This window comes from Homo sapiens, chromosome 18 (genome assembly GCF_000001405.40).
Source record: "Homo sapiens chromosome 18, GRCh38.p14 Primary Assembly".
Taxonomy (NCBI): domain Eukaryota; kingdom Metazoa; phylum Chordata; class Mammalia; order Primates; family Hominidae; genus Homo; species Homo sapiens.
Window position 1 is genome coordinate 23,940,401 of NC_000018.10, and position 15,626 is coordinate 23,956,026.

A 15,626-nucleotide genomic window follows, 5' to 3' on the forward strand; every position below is an offset into this window, starting at 1 on the left:
GGCATGGCAGCCCCACTGTGCTCCCTGCAGCAGCTTCTCTTGGAGCACGACTTCATGGCTGCCACATGCCGTTTAACTTCTCTAAGCCTAAGCTGTCCCTCTATGCCTGTCTTGCGTGTTAGCAGATTGCTACCTCTCTCTGGACCTCAATTTTCCTGTTAGTTAAATGGGCTCGATGATGCTTTTCTTGCAGGGAGGAGAGGTCATAGCTTATAAGGAGGCTGGCCCTTGAAGCCCACTCAGCAAGCTGTGAGCATGCATCACAGGCAGAGAGAGGTAAAGGTCAGAGAGAGATTGACTGCCAAGCTCTGAAGGAGAAAGCCTGTGTGGACAGCTCCACGTCTCCAGCTGCCCCATGCAAAGTCTTGGGGTCCCTCATTTTCCAAAACTGTGCTAGTAGAAGCTAAGGCAGAAGGAGAGGAGATTGTCCCTCCAGTTGTCCCCTCCCCTGGCTACTCCTTGGTAGGGAGGCCCCACTCCCCACCCCTGCTCTCTTGGTCAAGCTGACCTTAATGACAATGACCTCCCTCTTTCTTTTCTTTTTTTTTTTTTTTGAGACGGAATATCACTCTGTCACCCAGGCTGGAGTACAGTGGTGCGACTTGGCTCACTGCAACTTCCACCTCCTGGGTTCACACTATTCTCCTGCCTCAGCCTCCTGAGTAGCTGGGACTATAGGCACCCGCCACCACGCCCGGCTAATTTTTTTGTATTTTTATTAGAGATGGGGTTTCACTATGTTGGTCAGGCTGGTCTCGAACTCCTGACCTCGTGATCCGCCCACCTCGGCCTCCCAAAGTGCTGGGATTACAGGCGTGAGCCACCGCGCCCGGCCAACCTCTCTCTTTCAAGAAACTGCCTGGAGGCCCCTTTCCCCAGCCTCCCGCCTCTGGCCTCCCCCTTGTGGCCTCTCCATCAGCTTGGCGCCCCCCCCCCGCCCGGCAGCTTCTCTCTCAACACATTCAGTGCAGTGAGTTACCAACTTCTAACGATTCAACCCCTGTGCCTTCCCGTCCAACATTAAACCGTACATCATTAATGAAAAAGTAACATTTTAAAAGGTAAAATTTTTTAAAAAGTCAAACAGTAAATATAATTTTCAACTTATATTTTAGCCCCAAATGTTGTAGCAATCAGTTATTTTCAGAAAGTTGTAAGAGTTGGAGGATTCTGTTGTTCTCATTCTGATTTACATTCTAGCAGTGTTCTGACACTCCTTTAAACTGGTGCCATTGCTTTACCCCTTTGGTGAATGTATAAAAATGCTCTTTAGCTCTCTGCCCTACCCTCCCATCCTCCAGCAATGAAGAGTCATAGCTACAGTATCATGTACTGGGATCTGAATCCACTGCTGCCTTTTTTTGGGTGTTAGTCAGTTAGTCTTTTATGAAAGAAAGTTGCTTTAGGAAACAGTTCTGGAAAGCAAATGTCAAATCTGATCACCAGGCCCACATATGGAAAGTACATTCTATTCTGCAGCACGTTCTAATATCCTCCTTAACTTGGCTACCCCTCATTCTCCAAACCTCCGCACTAACACACAGACACACCAAGAGAAATATTGAGCAGTGTTACCATCTGGTTGGCTTAATTTAACAAATATAGATTTCTCTTTCGTTTTGAAGAACATTGCCCTCAAGGAAACTTGCTAATCTGAAGAATAAATGTGCATCTTAGCCTCACAGAATTAAAAAGCAAAGAGAATTAACAGTATAATTTGTTTCTTCCACTTCTGGTTTCTGCCTCCAAATTTCCCATTTACCATTTAATTCAATTCAGTAACTATTTATCGAGTGCCTACTGCGTAATAGGCACTGGGGATGCCGCTGTGAGTGGGATGAACCCATGCCTCCTATCTGGTGTCTGCTTAAGACGTTAGCCACAGGAATGGCTGAGGACAGCCTGTTGACATCTGCATCTCCCACGACCCTTTCACGCACACCTTTATGCATCCCTCTCAGGGCACCCCTGCACCATAAACCACTCAAGGAAGGAAACATCCATCGTTGCATTCCTACTGTCCAGCACTGCACCTTATGCATCTTCCACACTCATTAAATACTTGTTTGATGGGTGGATGGATGGATGAGTGTGAGTTTTCATAAAAAGTAAAGCTTGCTTAGCTGGATGTGCATAGAACATGTAACCATCATGCAAATGAATACTAACTTGCACTCTGCTTTTTTTTTTTTTTTTTTAGACAGAGCCGCTGTGTCACCCAGGCTGGAGTGCAGTGGCACGATCTTGGCTCACTACAACCTCCACCTCCTGGGTTCAAGCGATTCTCCTGCCTCAGCCTCCCAAGTTAGTTGGGATTACAGGCACCACCACCACGCCCAGCTAATTTTTGTATTTTTAGTAGAGACAGGGTTTCCCCATGTTGGCCAGGCTGGTCTTGAACTCCTGACCTCAGGTGATCCACCCACCTCGGCCTCCCAAAGTGCTAGGATTTTCCCATAGTGCTGAGATTACAGGCGTGAGCCACCTTGCTTGGCACACTCTGCTTTTACTGTATGATATTTGCCTCATTCTTCTTCCTTCACAGGGAGGGTATTAGGGTCTAAGAAATGTAGAGATGGGTGGGAGAAGGTGGGTCTGTGCTTCCGTGTCTTTGGTTAAATCTGTCTAACAGAAAGGAAAGGCTTCTTTGATGCTTAAATCACATCCTTGTTATTCAAGTTGTCCCCTACTTCTCCTACGACTTCCCTCTCCACGAATACATACAAAACAGAATGCATATTCATTGAGTTTGAAAAGTACAGGCTTCTCAGTGAAATAAGCCAGTCACAAAAGGACAAGTCCCCTACAATTCCACTTACATGAGGTATCTCAAGTAGTCGTGTTCATCGAGAGAGAAAGTAGAGTGGTGGTTTGTTGTCAGGGGCTGTGGGAAGCGAGACTAGGGAGCTCTTGTTTCATGGGTACAAGTTTCAGTTTTGCAAGATGAAAAGAGTTCTCGAGATTGATTGTACAACAATCTGAATGTACTTAACAGTACTGAACTATACACTTAAAAAAGGTTAAGATGGCACATTTTAGGTTAGCGTATTTTACCCTAACTTTTTAAAACATGGACTTTTTATAAAAGATTCAGACATGTTTCTTCTTGCCATGTGCTGGGACTTACACCACTAGCTAAGTTTGCCACAAAAGTTCCATGTTATTCCCCAATGTAGTAAGGAAATTATACAACAAAACCATTAACAGCTGGAATAGAATAGCTTTTTAAAGTTTCCAGAGAAACGGGTCATTTAATCAGTACCTACGTTAGCTTATCCATTTGAAAAATGGGGGTTGGGTGTTTGCTCCCCACCCTCTGTCTCAGTGCTGAGATTCGAAGGAACGCTGAACACCTCTATTTCCCTTCATCGCCGATGTTCCCAACAGGTCACAGTTTGCTGTGGACATGCAGACAACATCCTCCAGAGGACTGGTGTTTCACACGGGCACTAAGAACTCCTTTATGGCTCTTTATCTTTCAAAAGGACGTCTGGTCTTTGCACTGGGGACAGATGGGAAAAAATTGAGGATCAAAAGCAAGGAGAAATGCAATGATGGGAAATGGCACACGGTAAGAGCTGGGGCTGTGTCAGTATCTCCAGTTGGTGTGGAATTCACTGTTGGAGTCGCTGAAAATAGGAGTCCCAGCATCCTTCCCAGACATGAGGGCGTGGAGTGGGAGAGCTTGTGTGCTTGCAGGCGCTGCGTTCCCAGCATCTCAGTACTGGAGGCCGCGGCACACACATTGCATGGCTGTCATCCTAGACAGTAAAGTCAAGATGGGCTTTACTGATGCTTCTTCCATCCCCTCCAGCCCTCCCCCAGGCTGCCTCATGCCCCTTGCCTACTCTAACTCCTTCATCCTGGACCATTTCTTCCCCTTATGGCCAATTTCCAGGCCTCCAGGCCCCTCTCTGGACCTGGAATGACCCTAGCATCTTGGCTCTTGCTTAAAGCCATTCCAGATTTCAAGAAATACCATTTAAGGCAATAAGGGACCTATTTATTTCTCTAATGAGGCAACTGGACTTCAGAAAATGTAAGTGACTTGACAAGTTGCATTCCCTTAGTCATTCAGCTGCCTTCCTGGAACACATAAGCAAACAATCCTCAATGTAATGTCAGAGATTGGTAAGTGCTTTGAGAAAACACTAGAGCAAGGTAAGAAAATGACAGAGCAGGGAGACTATTTTAAATAAGGCAGTAGAGAAAGCCCTGGTACAGCAGGTGGTAGTCACATGAAGTTATGGGGAGGGGGTTCCAGGAAGAGGGAAGAGCAAATAACAAGGACCTGGAGGTGGGAATTAGCTGAATGAACAAAACACAAAGCAATAAGAAATGGAATTAGAGAGGAAGACAGAGCCCAGATCATTTAAGCTTTGAAGGCCAAGCTCCGACTTTGGACTTTATTTGAAAGTGTCTGTAAAGCTTTTAAAGAGTCTTAAAACTCTTGGCCAGGCGCGGTGGCTCATGCCTGTAATCCCAGCACTTTGGGAGGCCAAGGCGGGCTGATCACAAGGTCAGGAGTTCGAGACCAGCCCGACCAACATGGTGAAACCCCATCTTTACTAAAAATACAAACATTAGCTGGGCATGGTGGCATGCACCTGTAATCCCAGCTACTCAGGAGGCTGAGGCAGGAGAATCGCTTGAACTCAGGAGGTGGAGGTTGCAGTGAGCCGAGATCACACCACTGCACTCCAGCCTGGGCGACAGAGCAAGACTCTGTCAAAAAAATAAAAATAAAAAAAATAAAACTCTTACATGTACAGATTCATATATTATTTAATTCTTTAGCTGAAGAGACTGCCAGGGGGCAAGAGTAGCAGCAGGGGGCCCACATGGCTGCTATTGCCTTTGCTTGCGGAGGCTGTGGGGAGGTCGGGAGAAGTGACCGCCAGGACGCATGCTGAAGGTAGAACCACGCGGCCTTGCTGATGGATCACATATAGAGGGTGAGAGGAAGAGAGGGTCCAGATCACATCCTGTGATTTGGGGCCAGCAATTGAGTCATTAGTGGGCATTTACTGAGATGAAGATGGAGAAGAGGCAGATGTGGCCAGGAGGAGAGCAGTTCAGAGCTGGGGGAGAATGAGGATTTCTGTCGTGAACATCTCAGGGTTGAGTGGCCTGTCAGACCTTCAAGCCCAGGTGTCAGCAGGCAGTAGAGGCCAAAGGTCACAGCTTGGCATATAAATGGAAGTGTCCGTAGTGAATAGTCTCACCACACCTATGAGATGGCAGAATCCACACCAGACCCCAGGGATCAGAAATTTTAGCAAAGAGTTTAAACACTCCTCTTGTTTGAAGAGAAGTGCCCTCGTTCTACCTGCTCCAAGAGGCCAGCCCAGGGTGCCACGACTCCAACACACCCCCGTCCCCAGCACTGTATAAACTGTCCCTGCCCCTTTGTTACATGGAGGGGGTTGCCTGTGGCTGTGCCTTGAACTGTTTCTCTTTTGTGTAAGTTTCCAGATGAATTCTATAATCTCTTTTGATTAGTTCACTTCTAAGCAACCTTTTTTTTTCAGTTCCCCTTTTGAGCTCAGTTTGTTCAGTATTTCACATAATCTCACAAAACGATGGTGATAGTGATAACCGGAGGAAAAAATCTCTCATCTTTTGAAGCTATTTGAAGGAGCATGAAAACATTTTTTTTTAATTTGGCCACTAATATTTAATAAAATACAACACCAATTGTCAAAGGTAAAAATACAACTCACGTATCTTTCTTACTCTGAAGGTGGTGTTTGGCCATGATGGGGAAAAGGGGCGCTTGGTTGTGGATGGACTGAGGGCCCGGGAGGGAAGTTTGCCTGGAAACTCCACCATCAGCATCAGAGCGCCAGTTTACCTGGGATCACCTCCATCAGGGAAACCAAAGGTAAATAGTTATGTTCAGAGCCATGGACAGAAACAATTCACCTTATATTATAGGCATAATTGTATGAGATATTCAAAATACTCACCATATGAGAATCTCAAAATACTTTAAATGATTTTTAAGGATCTAATTAATGTTCACAACCACATAGAGTAAGTGCCCATTTCTTAACCCAAAGCCTTCATTTCTAAGGTGCAGGTTGAGACGCAGGCCCTGAAAGGGTGAAGATAGAGCTTCTCTGCCACTTCCTAAACCTGAATCTATTGGCTTCTCCTCCAGGGAATGCAAAAACGTAGGTTTTAGGTTATAGACAGAGATTTTTTGGTTAACATAATGTGTTTCAAATTACAGTAATTTGTGCCATTTTCACCATCTTTGCCATAAGGTAAAACATTGGCTTAACTGTTTTCTCTCCATCAAACTATTTATTTTAAATGTGCTTCTATGGGATCTTTTTATCTCTCCCATAAATGGAAACCCAATATTCTTTACCATAAATAATAGATAACCCTGAGAAATAAACATTTGAAAACCAAACACTGTTAATATCAAACTAAGTAGTGTGACCTATGTGTTCTTTGCTTGGAGAAAAAGGTGCTTAACACGTAATCAAGAGGGTGTTTAAGACATACTAGCACAAAGCCAAAAGCTGTTCCTTGTCCTCGTCCAAACGCTAGAAAGAGAATTGAAAAAGGAATAACTTAATAATGGAATATGTGTTTTAATGTTATTTGATGTCTGAAATAACAAAATTATCTCAAAAACCCATCTTGGGAATGCCAGACGAAGGGAAAGTTGGGACTCCCTCTGTCCCCAGAGAGGAGGGGTGCTTTTCTAGGTTTGTCAAGTTCAAGGCTCTGATGGGGCGCTCTGATGGGGCCACAGCTCCAGGGCTGAGCTCTGTGAGTGCCCTCTCCCTTCCTCTCTCCTACCCCCTGCCACAGCGTTAATTGCACCAGGGTTACTTGAGGCAGCCTTGGGCACCTGTCTTTCTTGTCTCAGATTTGCCTTTCCCCCCACCCCACAAAGTTAAGTAAGATGAGCCTATCAACAGCTCAGGTCTAGGGACTGTCCTCCGCCTTAATGCAATTTTTGCCCTTTTCCTCCAGACCCAGTGGCACATTTTGGTGTGATGTTTGCTTGCAGTGGGAAAAAAAGAGCCCCGGGCTCAAATCTGGGCCTAGAAATGGGCATAATGAAAGCAGGTCTCTCCACCAGCTTGGATGCTAGCTGCTTAGGCTGCCCTAGCCTTGACCAGGGCTCAGCCTGGCCCTCTTGGGTTTTGCACTGGGGTTTGGGCCAGAGCTCCAGTGTTATACAATAAAGTATATTTATTATACCCCAGCAGGCAACAGAGTATTACTTTGCTTTGCTATATGCAGTAACTTATATATATTTCATAAAAATACATACCATATTATCCATTATTTATAATACACATTATATATATAATATACACCACACATTAATTGCTAAGGAGGATTCTCATTGTTAATGTTTACTTTTCTCAACCTCTGTTCCTATTTTCTTTTTTTTTTTTTTTTTGAGACGGAGTCTTGCTCTGTCGCCCAGGCTGGAGTGCAGTGGCACCATCTCAGCTCACTGCAAGCTCCGCCTCCTGGGTTCACACCATTCTCCTTCCTCAGCCTCCTAAGTAGCTGGGACTACAGGCGCCTGCCACCATGCCTGGCTAATTTTTTGTATTTTTTAGTAGAGACGGGGTTTCACCGTGTTAGCCAGAATGGTCTCGATCTCCTGACCTCGTGATCTGCCCTCCTCGGCCTCCCAAAGTGCTGGGATTACAGGCGTGAGCCACCGTGCCCGGCCCCTATTTTCAACTCAGAGAAATCACAGGATGGGGCAGGATTTGGGTATTCTTTGGCTTTGGATAAATTCTCTTCAAACCACCTTAATCACACCCAGCATCTAACATCTGGGCCAAATAGTAGCACCCCATTTACAATACTCTTTACAGACCAAGTTTCTTTTTGCAGCCTTCTTTCAACCTGAGGGTATAAACCATCTCATGGGCCCTCCCACATATCCTTTTCAGGAGCAGGCCACATCCGATCAGTGTCTGCCTCTGAACACCGGCACTGCAGTCAGCCCTTAGGGATCAATGCTGGGTTCTGGCCCATCCTGGGGAGTCCTAGCTTTAGGACACAGCTTTTTCATTGTGTAGCATGACAAATCTTAAGAAACTAAAAGTTTCATAGGGAATCCAATCAGTAGTTTACTGTTGATGCTGGCACCATGTGCATTTATCACATCAACATTTTCTCTTTCTTTCTTTTTTTTTTTTTGAGTTGGAGTCTTGCTCTGTCACCCAGGCTGGAGTGCAGTAGTACGATCTCGGCTCACTGCAACCTCCGCCTCCTGAGTTCAAACGATTCTCCTGCCTCAGTCTCCTGCATAGCTGGGACTACAGGCACCTGCCACCACACCTGGCTAATTTTTGTATTTTTAGTAGAGACGGGGTTTCACCATGTTGGCCAGGCTGGCCTCAAACTCCTGACCTCAGGTGATCCAGCAGCCTCAGCCTCCCAAAGTGCTGGGATTACAGGTGTGAGCCACTGTGCCTGGCCACCATTTTCTTTTAAAGTTACCATATCTTTATTACCATGTCTGACTTGTAGGATTCCAGAGTCCTAAAGGCATTCATTCTAGAAGGGAGTTCAAGAGTTTTATTCGGTGAATCTCAAACTTTCTTGAGAATTTTATGAAATTTACAGTCCTCCCCAGGAAAATGCACACGCAGAACACACCTGGTGTATAATATAGGAGAGCACAGAACCCCACAAGCCTGTTCCTGGGCCCCAGGAGAGGAGTCCCCTGTTCCAGCCGGCTCTAGGCAGGCATGGGGCTCCACGCAAGCCCACTGTCAATGCACACTGTGTCTTATTTTAACTCTGCAGCATTCGTGACTTGGTGGTGGTGCACTGAGCCCAACAATGTAGGCAGATTTTTTTGCATTTTATTATTTTGGGAACATTTTGGCCTCTTTATTTTTGTCAGCTGCCCTGCAGTAAGCTAACACACTGCCTCGTGGAACTCTAAGAAGTGGTTTGTATCTGCAAAGAGACGGTGAAATCTGTGAACTGTAAGGTGGAAATTTCCCTTGTTGCTGCTCCATCTGTGAGGACCAGGGTCAGGTCAACCTTCCCTGTTCTTATTCTAGCACAAGCTAGCAACCTGCACTAGCCCGCCCTCCTGCACACACCACTTTTTTTGGTGGCACCTGCAATCTTCGACCACCCACCCAACATCTGGTATACAGGTTTTTCTTGGCACTCTGGGCAGAGAGCCAAATAGAACAGCTATTAGAACCTGAGTTTGAAGAACCTGACTTGGAAGCGGGAAGAATGAATCCCTACCTACCTTCCCCCTTTTGCTGACAAGCTGCAGTGCCCTTCGCCTTGGCTACCCATGCCTTTCTTGGAGGTGTAGGTAATGAGCTTTTTCTTTTCTGCTTGGTTGCAGAGCCTCCCCACAAACAGCTTTGTGGGATGCCTGAAGAACTTTCAGCTGGATTCAAAACCCTTGTATACCCCTTCTTCAAGCTTCGGGGTGTCTTCCTGCTTGGGTGGTCCTTTGGAGAAAGGCATTTATTTCTCTGAAGAAGGAGGTCATGTCGTCTTGGGTAAGGAGCAGTTCTATAGAATTTAAGTCTTTGCATCTTAAGAACTGTATCCTGTTTTCTTTCATGGTGATGCTTTAACTTTTGCTTTGTTTCTCTTTTGAAAGCTCACTCTGTATTGTTGGGGCCAGAATTTAAGCTTGTTTTCAGCATCCGCCCAAGAAGTCTCACTGGGATCCTAATACACATCGGAAGTCAGCCCGGGAAGCACTTATGTGTTTACCTGGAGGCAGGAAAGGTGTGTAGCAGTCTGATGCCATGGGGAGGGTCTGTAGAAACCAGCTTCAATGTCTGGAGGCCACAGCGGGTCAGGTTTGTAGTAGAGAATGGGATCCAATCTTGTATTTAAGAGCCTTGACTTCAGTGCTAACTTACCATTTTCCTTTAGCAAGTAATTTTATCATCATGTTTTCTGTTCTTAATTTTTAAAACTGGGAAAACTCAAACAAGTCGGGCTGAATTGCAGGTCCAGCACTTGGTTATATGGTCCTAAGGATGTTACTCAAGCTCTTTCAGACTTATCTGTAAAATGTAGATAATAACTCTTATAACTTAAGGCTTTTGTCAAGATTATAGAAATCGCCATATACTCAATTCTTACAGATTCTTTCTTCATCTCTGCAGCCTCATTTTTCCATCACTCACAGGCCTGAGTCAACATCTTATTTTCCACCACCCAGTTATATCTCTTTCCTTCTCAAAGATGTCTCTTTAAAACCAGATTCTTCTAGGAAGACCCTTAGTTGAGGCCTCGAGTGAAAGATTGATATAATATGCCATTTTCTTTCATCTCCGTCCTTCCACAGTTTACTAAATGTGAGGGGAAAAGAATCCCAGAAGAAAATAAAATGCCCAAAATTCCTAGAATACTTTCTATTGTAGTCTTTAATTAAGTCTGAGTAGGTCTCTGGTAGCCCAGAAAAGCAAGTAACTATCCACTTGCAAGGTGGTTGAGACAATTCTGGTTTTTCAGAGGAGGAGCTGGAGAGAGTCTCTACTGAGAGTCTCTGGGAGGGAATTATTCTCAGGAAAACAAATCAAGACCCGATGACCTTCATAATAGCAGTGACATTGTTTAGCTCAAAAATTGCCTGTGAATAGGCTGTCCCATCTAGCTACATGCAAATTAAATGTAAATTATTTATAAACACACTTATTTTAGTCCTCTCATTTCATTCCCCTTGATTCAACTCTTGGAAGATCCTGGAGGAGACCCTGATTTAGAAAGCAGGAATGTGGGATTCTGCACAAAACAGACTGCGTGCCTGGCTCCCGATGCGTGCCCAGAGCAAACTCAATCATTTTGCTTGTTTAAAGTCTTGCCATGCATGGAACTATTACAGTTGGCTGGCCCTTGCAGCAGGCTGTAGGCCTCCACCAGTAGCTTTGCCTTCCACATCTCACATATCCTTCCATACAGAGCCACTGTCACGCATTAATTGCTAAGGAGGATTCCAATCAGTAACCTTTGAGTTGAGCTGATGGGGGCGGGGTTTGGATTAGAAGGGAACAACTCATTGCCATTGGCAACGACTTCAGGCCAGGGTCCACCCTGGTTTATAGTTGCCTGGAAGGGATGCAGCAGAGAGATCTCTGGAAGCATTGGACCCCATGTGGTCAAATGCTTCAAAAGCGGAGGAGGGCCAATATCTAATGTGCCCTTAAGCTGTCAGTTGGCCCGGTTTGGGGAGGGAAGATGGCAGGGGAAGGTCGGCTCCACCTGCCTTCCTGAAGGAAATAGGAAAATGCATGTGTGTTCCAGGTCACGGCCTCTATGGACAGTGGGGCAGGTGGGACCTCAACGTCGGTCACACCAAAGCAGTCTCTGTGTGATGGACAGTGGCACTCGGTGGCAGGTATGTTGTCCAGTAGCTGATTGTTCATGCACTAAAACAGGCCCCCTTTCCATTTTGACTTGAACATCCCAAAGGCAGCCTCAGCCCCTCCATCCACAGTGCCTGACCAGGGCCAGCCCCCGAGGCTAACGTGTCCATTCACAACCCCAGCCATGCTTCCGTCACTCATGGTTGCCACCTCCAGTTCTCCAGAACTTATCAAATATTTTATTGTTGCTGTTGTTGTTGTTTGTTTGTTTTTGGAGCCCAGCACACTAATAAGCTAGGCTAGTTTTCAAGATAGTATAACGTTGTGATTTAGATTTTGGCTCTGAAGTTAGAACAGAGGTCAAATCTTAGTTCCATCCCTTTCCCTGTGTGACCTTGGACAAGTTGCTTAATTGTTCTTTACCTTCGGTTTCCTCTTCTGTAAAATGGAAATAAAAATAGGGTATGGCTCTTAAGGTTGTGGAAATTAAATGGGACAATGTGTGAAAGGTTATTAGCCCAGTGTCTGATATGTAGTCAGTGTTCAGTAAGTATCTGTTTTTTGTTAAGGCTCATTGTTGTGTTATTTTTTTCAACAACCATTTAATATTAATGCTAACTATTTAGACAACCCGATGAGTAGAGAGCAAGCATTTCCTCTCAAAAAGAATCTGTTATTTTATTAATTATTTGTGGATATTAGAGATCTATGAACCCATATTGGCTAAAATACCTTTTGTAAAAAAGTGGCCTTTTCTTGGCTAATTTAAAAGATAACTACATTGCAATTAGCTGAGATCATTAACATGAGAGGAATTTTGTGTCGAGAGTCAAAAGAGCTGTCTTTGGCATCAGCTTTCAGAAGTCAGTGTCTTCATAGAAAGTAGCTGAGATCACATGAAATCAGCATGGCCTCTGGACACAGGAGACCAGAGCTTAAATCCCAACTCTTGGTAACCAAGCCATCTTGTCAGGCTCCTCAGTGAGACACATTCTCTTATCTGGGAAATGGGGAATGATAATTTCTTCTTCACAGATTCATTTTAAGGGTAAAATTCATTCATGTACGTGGAAGCACTACCTGGTGTTTAGAGGAAGTTAATTGAATTTATATCTAAGCTGACCAAATTTCTGCAAACAGCACTCCCACAGGTCTAGTATGAAGGAGTTAAAACAAAGTCAATGGTGTAGACATTAAGCAGGGCTCACCTCCGATGATAGACCTAACCAGCCTCCTTTCCCCAGTCACCATAAAACAACACATCCTGCACCTGGAACTGGACACAGACAGTAGCTACACAGCTGGACAGATCCCCTTCCCACCTGCCAGCACTCAAGAGCCACTACACCTTGGAGGTGCTCCAGGTAACTCTTGTCCTGACTTCTATAATGTGTTGCCCTGTGTCAGCTCTGAACATTCACTTCTTAATTAGTGGCAGGGCAGCTCTTGGCTGGACAGTGGAGATGGTGAGGCCCTTTGCACTGGCATGTGGGGAAAGGCAGTTGCTGGAAAGGAGCACTTGTCAGGTCAGCCCAGGCCCCATTACTGCTGTTGCCCCTTGCCCCAAGCCTGTAATTTTGTTTTTTTTTTTTGTTTTTTTTTTTGTTTTTTTTTGAGATGGAGTCTCACTCTGTTGCCCAGGCTGGAGAGCAGTGATGTGATCTCAGCTCACCACAACCTCTGCCTCCCAAGTTCAAGCTATTCTCCTGCCTCAGCCTCCCAAGTAGCTGGGACTACAGGCACATGCCACCACGCCTGGATAATTTTTGTGTTTTTAGTAGAGGCAGGGTTTTGCTATGTTGGCCAGGCTGGTCACAAACTCCTGACCTCAGGTGATCCACCCGCCTCAGCCTTTCAAAGTGCTGGGATTACAGGTGTGAGCCACTGCACCTGGCCCCAAGCCTATAATTTATAATCCTTTCTTAAGAGGTTGCATTAACCTAGAAGCCTGATACCAGTAAAGAGTCAGGAAAAGGGTCTGAAAAACTGGTCTCTGTCCTCTTCAGGTATTTAGTTTTACTAGTGAGTTATTAAGCTTTTGGGGACCGGACTGGGAGAATCAGGTAGGCTGAAATGGAGTCAAGTTCAAGACTGGAATGTTGTCTGGGAAGAGCCTTTTCATTCTTCATTGTTTTCTGTCCCTCCAAATACACTGTAATCCGGTTGTTAATTGTATAGGTCTTTCATTACCCATAAAAAGTACCAGTTTAGAGCTATTGATTTGGGCAGTGGATTCTCCTCTGAAGAACTTGAACAGTAGCCTTGTTGCTGATTTATCACAGCAGGTGGAGTGTCAGACGCCTGCCTGAAGTGGAGAGGGCTGAGTGGGCTGAGATGTGAAGTCACTTTAGCTTTCTCCACTAAGACTATCTTTTGCCTGGCATGGTGGCTCACACCTGTAATCCCAGAGCTTTGGGAGGCTGAGGCGGGAGGATCACTTGAGGCCAGGAGTTCAAGACCAGCCTGGGCAACATAGTGAGACCCCATCTCTACAAAAACATTAAAAATTAGCCCAGGGTGGTGGCCCACACCTCTAGTCCTGGCTACTTGGCAGACTGAGGTGTGAGGATTGTGTGAGCCCAGGAATCCCAGGTTTACAGAGAGCTGTGATCACACTACTGTACTTCAGCCTGGGTAACAGAGCAGGACCCTGTCTAAAAAAAAAAAAAAAAAAAAAATACTATCTTTTAAAATCCAGGGAACAGTCCCTGGACAGTATGAATTATTTACTGAATGCCTCTCCACTTTCTCTTTCAGCCAATTTGACGACACTGAGGATCCCTGTGTGGAAATCATTCTTTGGCTGTCTGAGGAATATTCATGTCAATCACATCCCTGTCCCTGTCACTGAAGCCTTGGAAGTCCAGGGGCCTGTCAGTCTGAATGGTTGTCCTGACCAGTAACCCAAGCCTATTTCACAGCAAGGAAATTCACCTTCAAAAGCACTGATTACCCAATGCACCTCCCTCCCCAGCTCGAGATCATTCTTCACTCAGGACACAAACCAGACAGGTTTAATAGCGAATCTAATTTTGAATTCTGACCATGGATACCCATCACTTTGGCATTCAGTGCTACATGTGTATTTTATATAAAAATCCCATTTCTTGAAGATAAAAAAATTGTTATTCAAATTGTTATGCACAGAATGTTTTTGGTAATATTAATTTCCACTAAAAAATTAAATGTCTTTTAAGAAACATTCTTTTCCACTTGTTAAAAAAATTAAATATATTTTAAAGCACTTTAAGAATATGAAACTTTCATATATGTTAAAGGATTATAATTTATGGAATTAAAAAATGCAGTGTAGTCCTTAAATTATGATGTTTTATTAGCATAAAAGAAGTGGCTTGATGGTCATTGTTAATTGGATTAATTCTTCAGCACCAGTTCAATGTGTTACCTACAACATAGTCTTCTACAGATAATCACTGAGCATATACTGATGAGGGTTTTGTGTGTGTTCACTATTGCAACTACAGTGAGGGATAAGAAATAAATTCCTGCCCTTAAGGAATATGCAGTCCAATTGGGGAGACATATAATATTCATAAAATAGTAACTTACAAACAAACTGAACTAATGAACCCATTAATTAATGAAGCCCATTGGTTTCCCAATCCTAGCCTTCCCCAGCCTGCTACCAACCAAGTCTAGATTATGATGATCAATTCCTTGAGGGCACAAACTACCTGGTAGGGAAGCTGAGATGGATGTAACGCACCATCACTGAAGCTTCATATGGCAAGCTAACCAAAGTCAGTGGGATGGAGGACTCACTTCTAGTTTTATCTACAAAATAATGAATGATGTACTGAACCAATATTATTACCCAGCACCACTTTCCCTAACAGAGAAGGCTACACAAGCATTTCCATATCCTCTACATAGTATTTGTTCATCAGAAGAAAAATAACAAATAATTCTAAAAAATTGGATATAGTAATCCTATGTGGTACCCTTATAGCTACACACCCTGCACCTTTGAAACTGAGTCACATCCCCTTCAACCCAATGTTCTCTTCTGACTTCCACACTGCAGTCTTGTGGACATGCTTTCTAACCACATCTATACAGAAATTGAATGTTCTCCTGGAGAGGTAGCGAGGTCCCCATCATAGGAGTATTCAACAGAGGCTGGGTGGTGGTCCTTAGGGATGCCATGTTGGGTTGGAGGTTAAACTACATGACTCTAAGCTATGTGCTTTCTTGAAATATTGATTTTAAAATGAAAAATTCACCAGGTGATGACCAGCCAGGAACTGAGTCTGCAAGAGG

General features: G+C 44.5%; 1 protein-coding gene across 15 annotated transcripts in view, besides 1 other annotated feature; it reads left to right on the forward strand.

Annotated features, from left to right (window-relative positions):
* LAMA3 (laminin subunit alpha 3) overlaps positions 1–14,666 on the forward strand; it is a 265,614-nt gene extending 250,948 nt beyond the window's left edge. For 14 of the 15 annotated variants that reach the window (XM_011525978.3, XM_011525982.3, XM_011525980.3 and 11 more), the window contains 7 exons: positions 3,388–3,571; positions 5,744–5,884; positions 9,365–9,524; positions 9,629–9,759; positions 11,284–11,377; positions 12,590–12,709; positions 14,103–14,666. In XM_011525978.3, coding sequence (XP_011524280.1) covers positions 3,388–3,571; positions 5,744–5,884; positions 9,365–9,524; positions 9,629–9,759; positions 11,284–11,377; positions 12,590–12,709; positions 14,103–14,248 — 976 coding nt within the window. In that variant the 3' untranslated portion in view covers positions 14,249–14,666. The other variant, XM_047437505.1, reaches the window with a different exon arrangement.
* Positions 11,029–11,889: an enhancer, noted in NCBI's record as "H3K27ac-H3K4me1 hESC enhancer chr18:21531393-21532253 (GRCh37/hg19 assembly coordinates)". NCBI's record gives its function as "activates a minimal SCP1, AML or CMV promoter by ChIP-STARR-seq in primed H9 embryonic stem cells {active_cell/tissue: H9 hESC(primed)}" and the evidence as "EXISTENCE:reporter gene assay evidence [ECO:0000049][PMID:30033119]".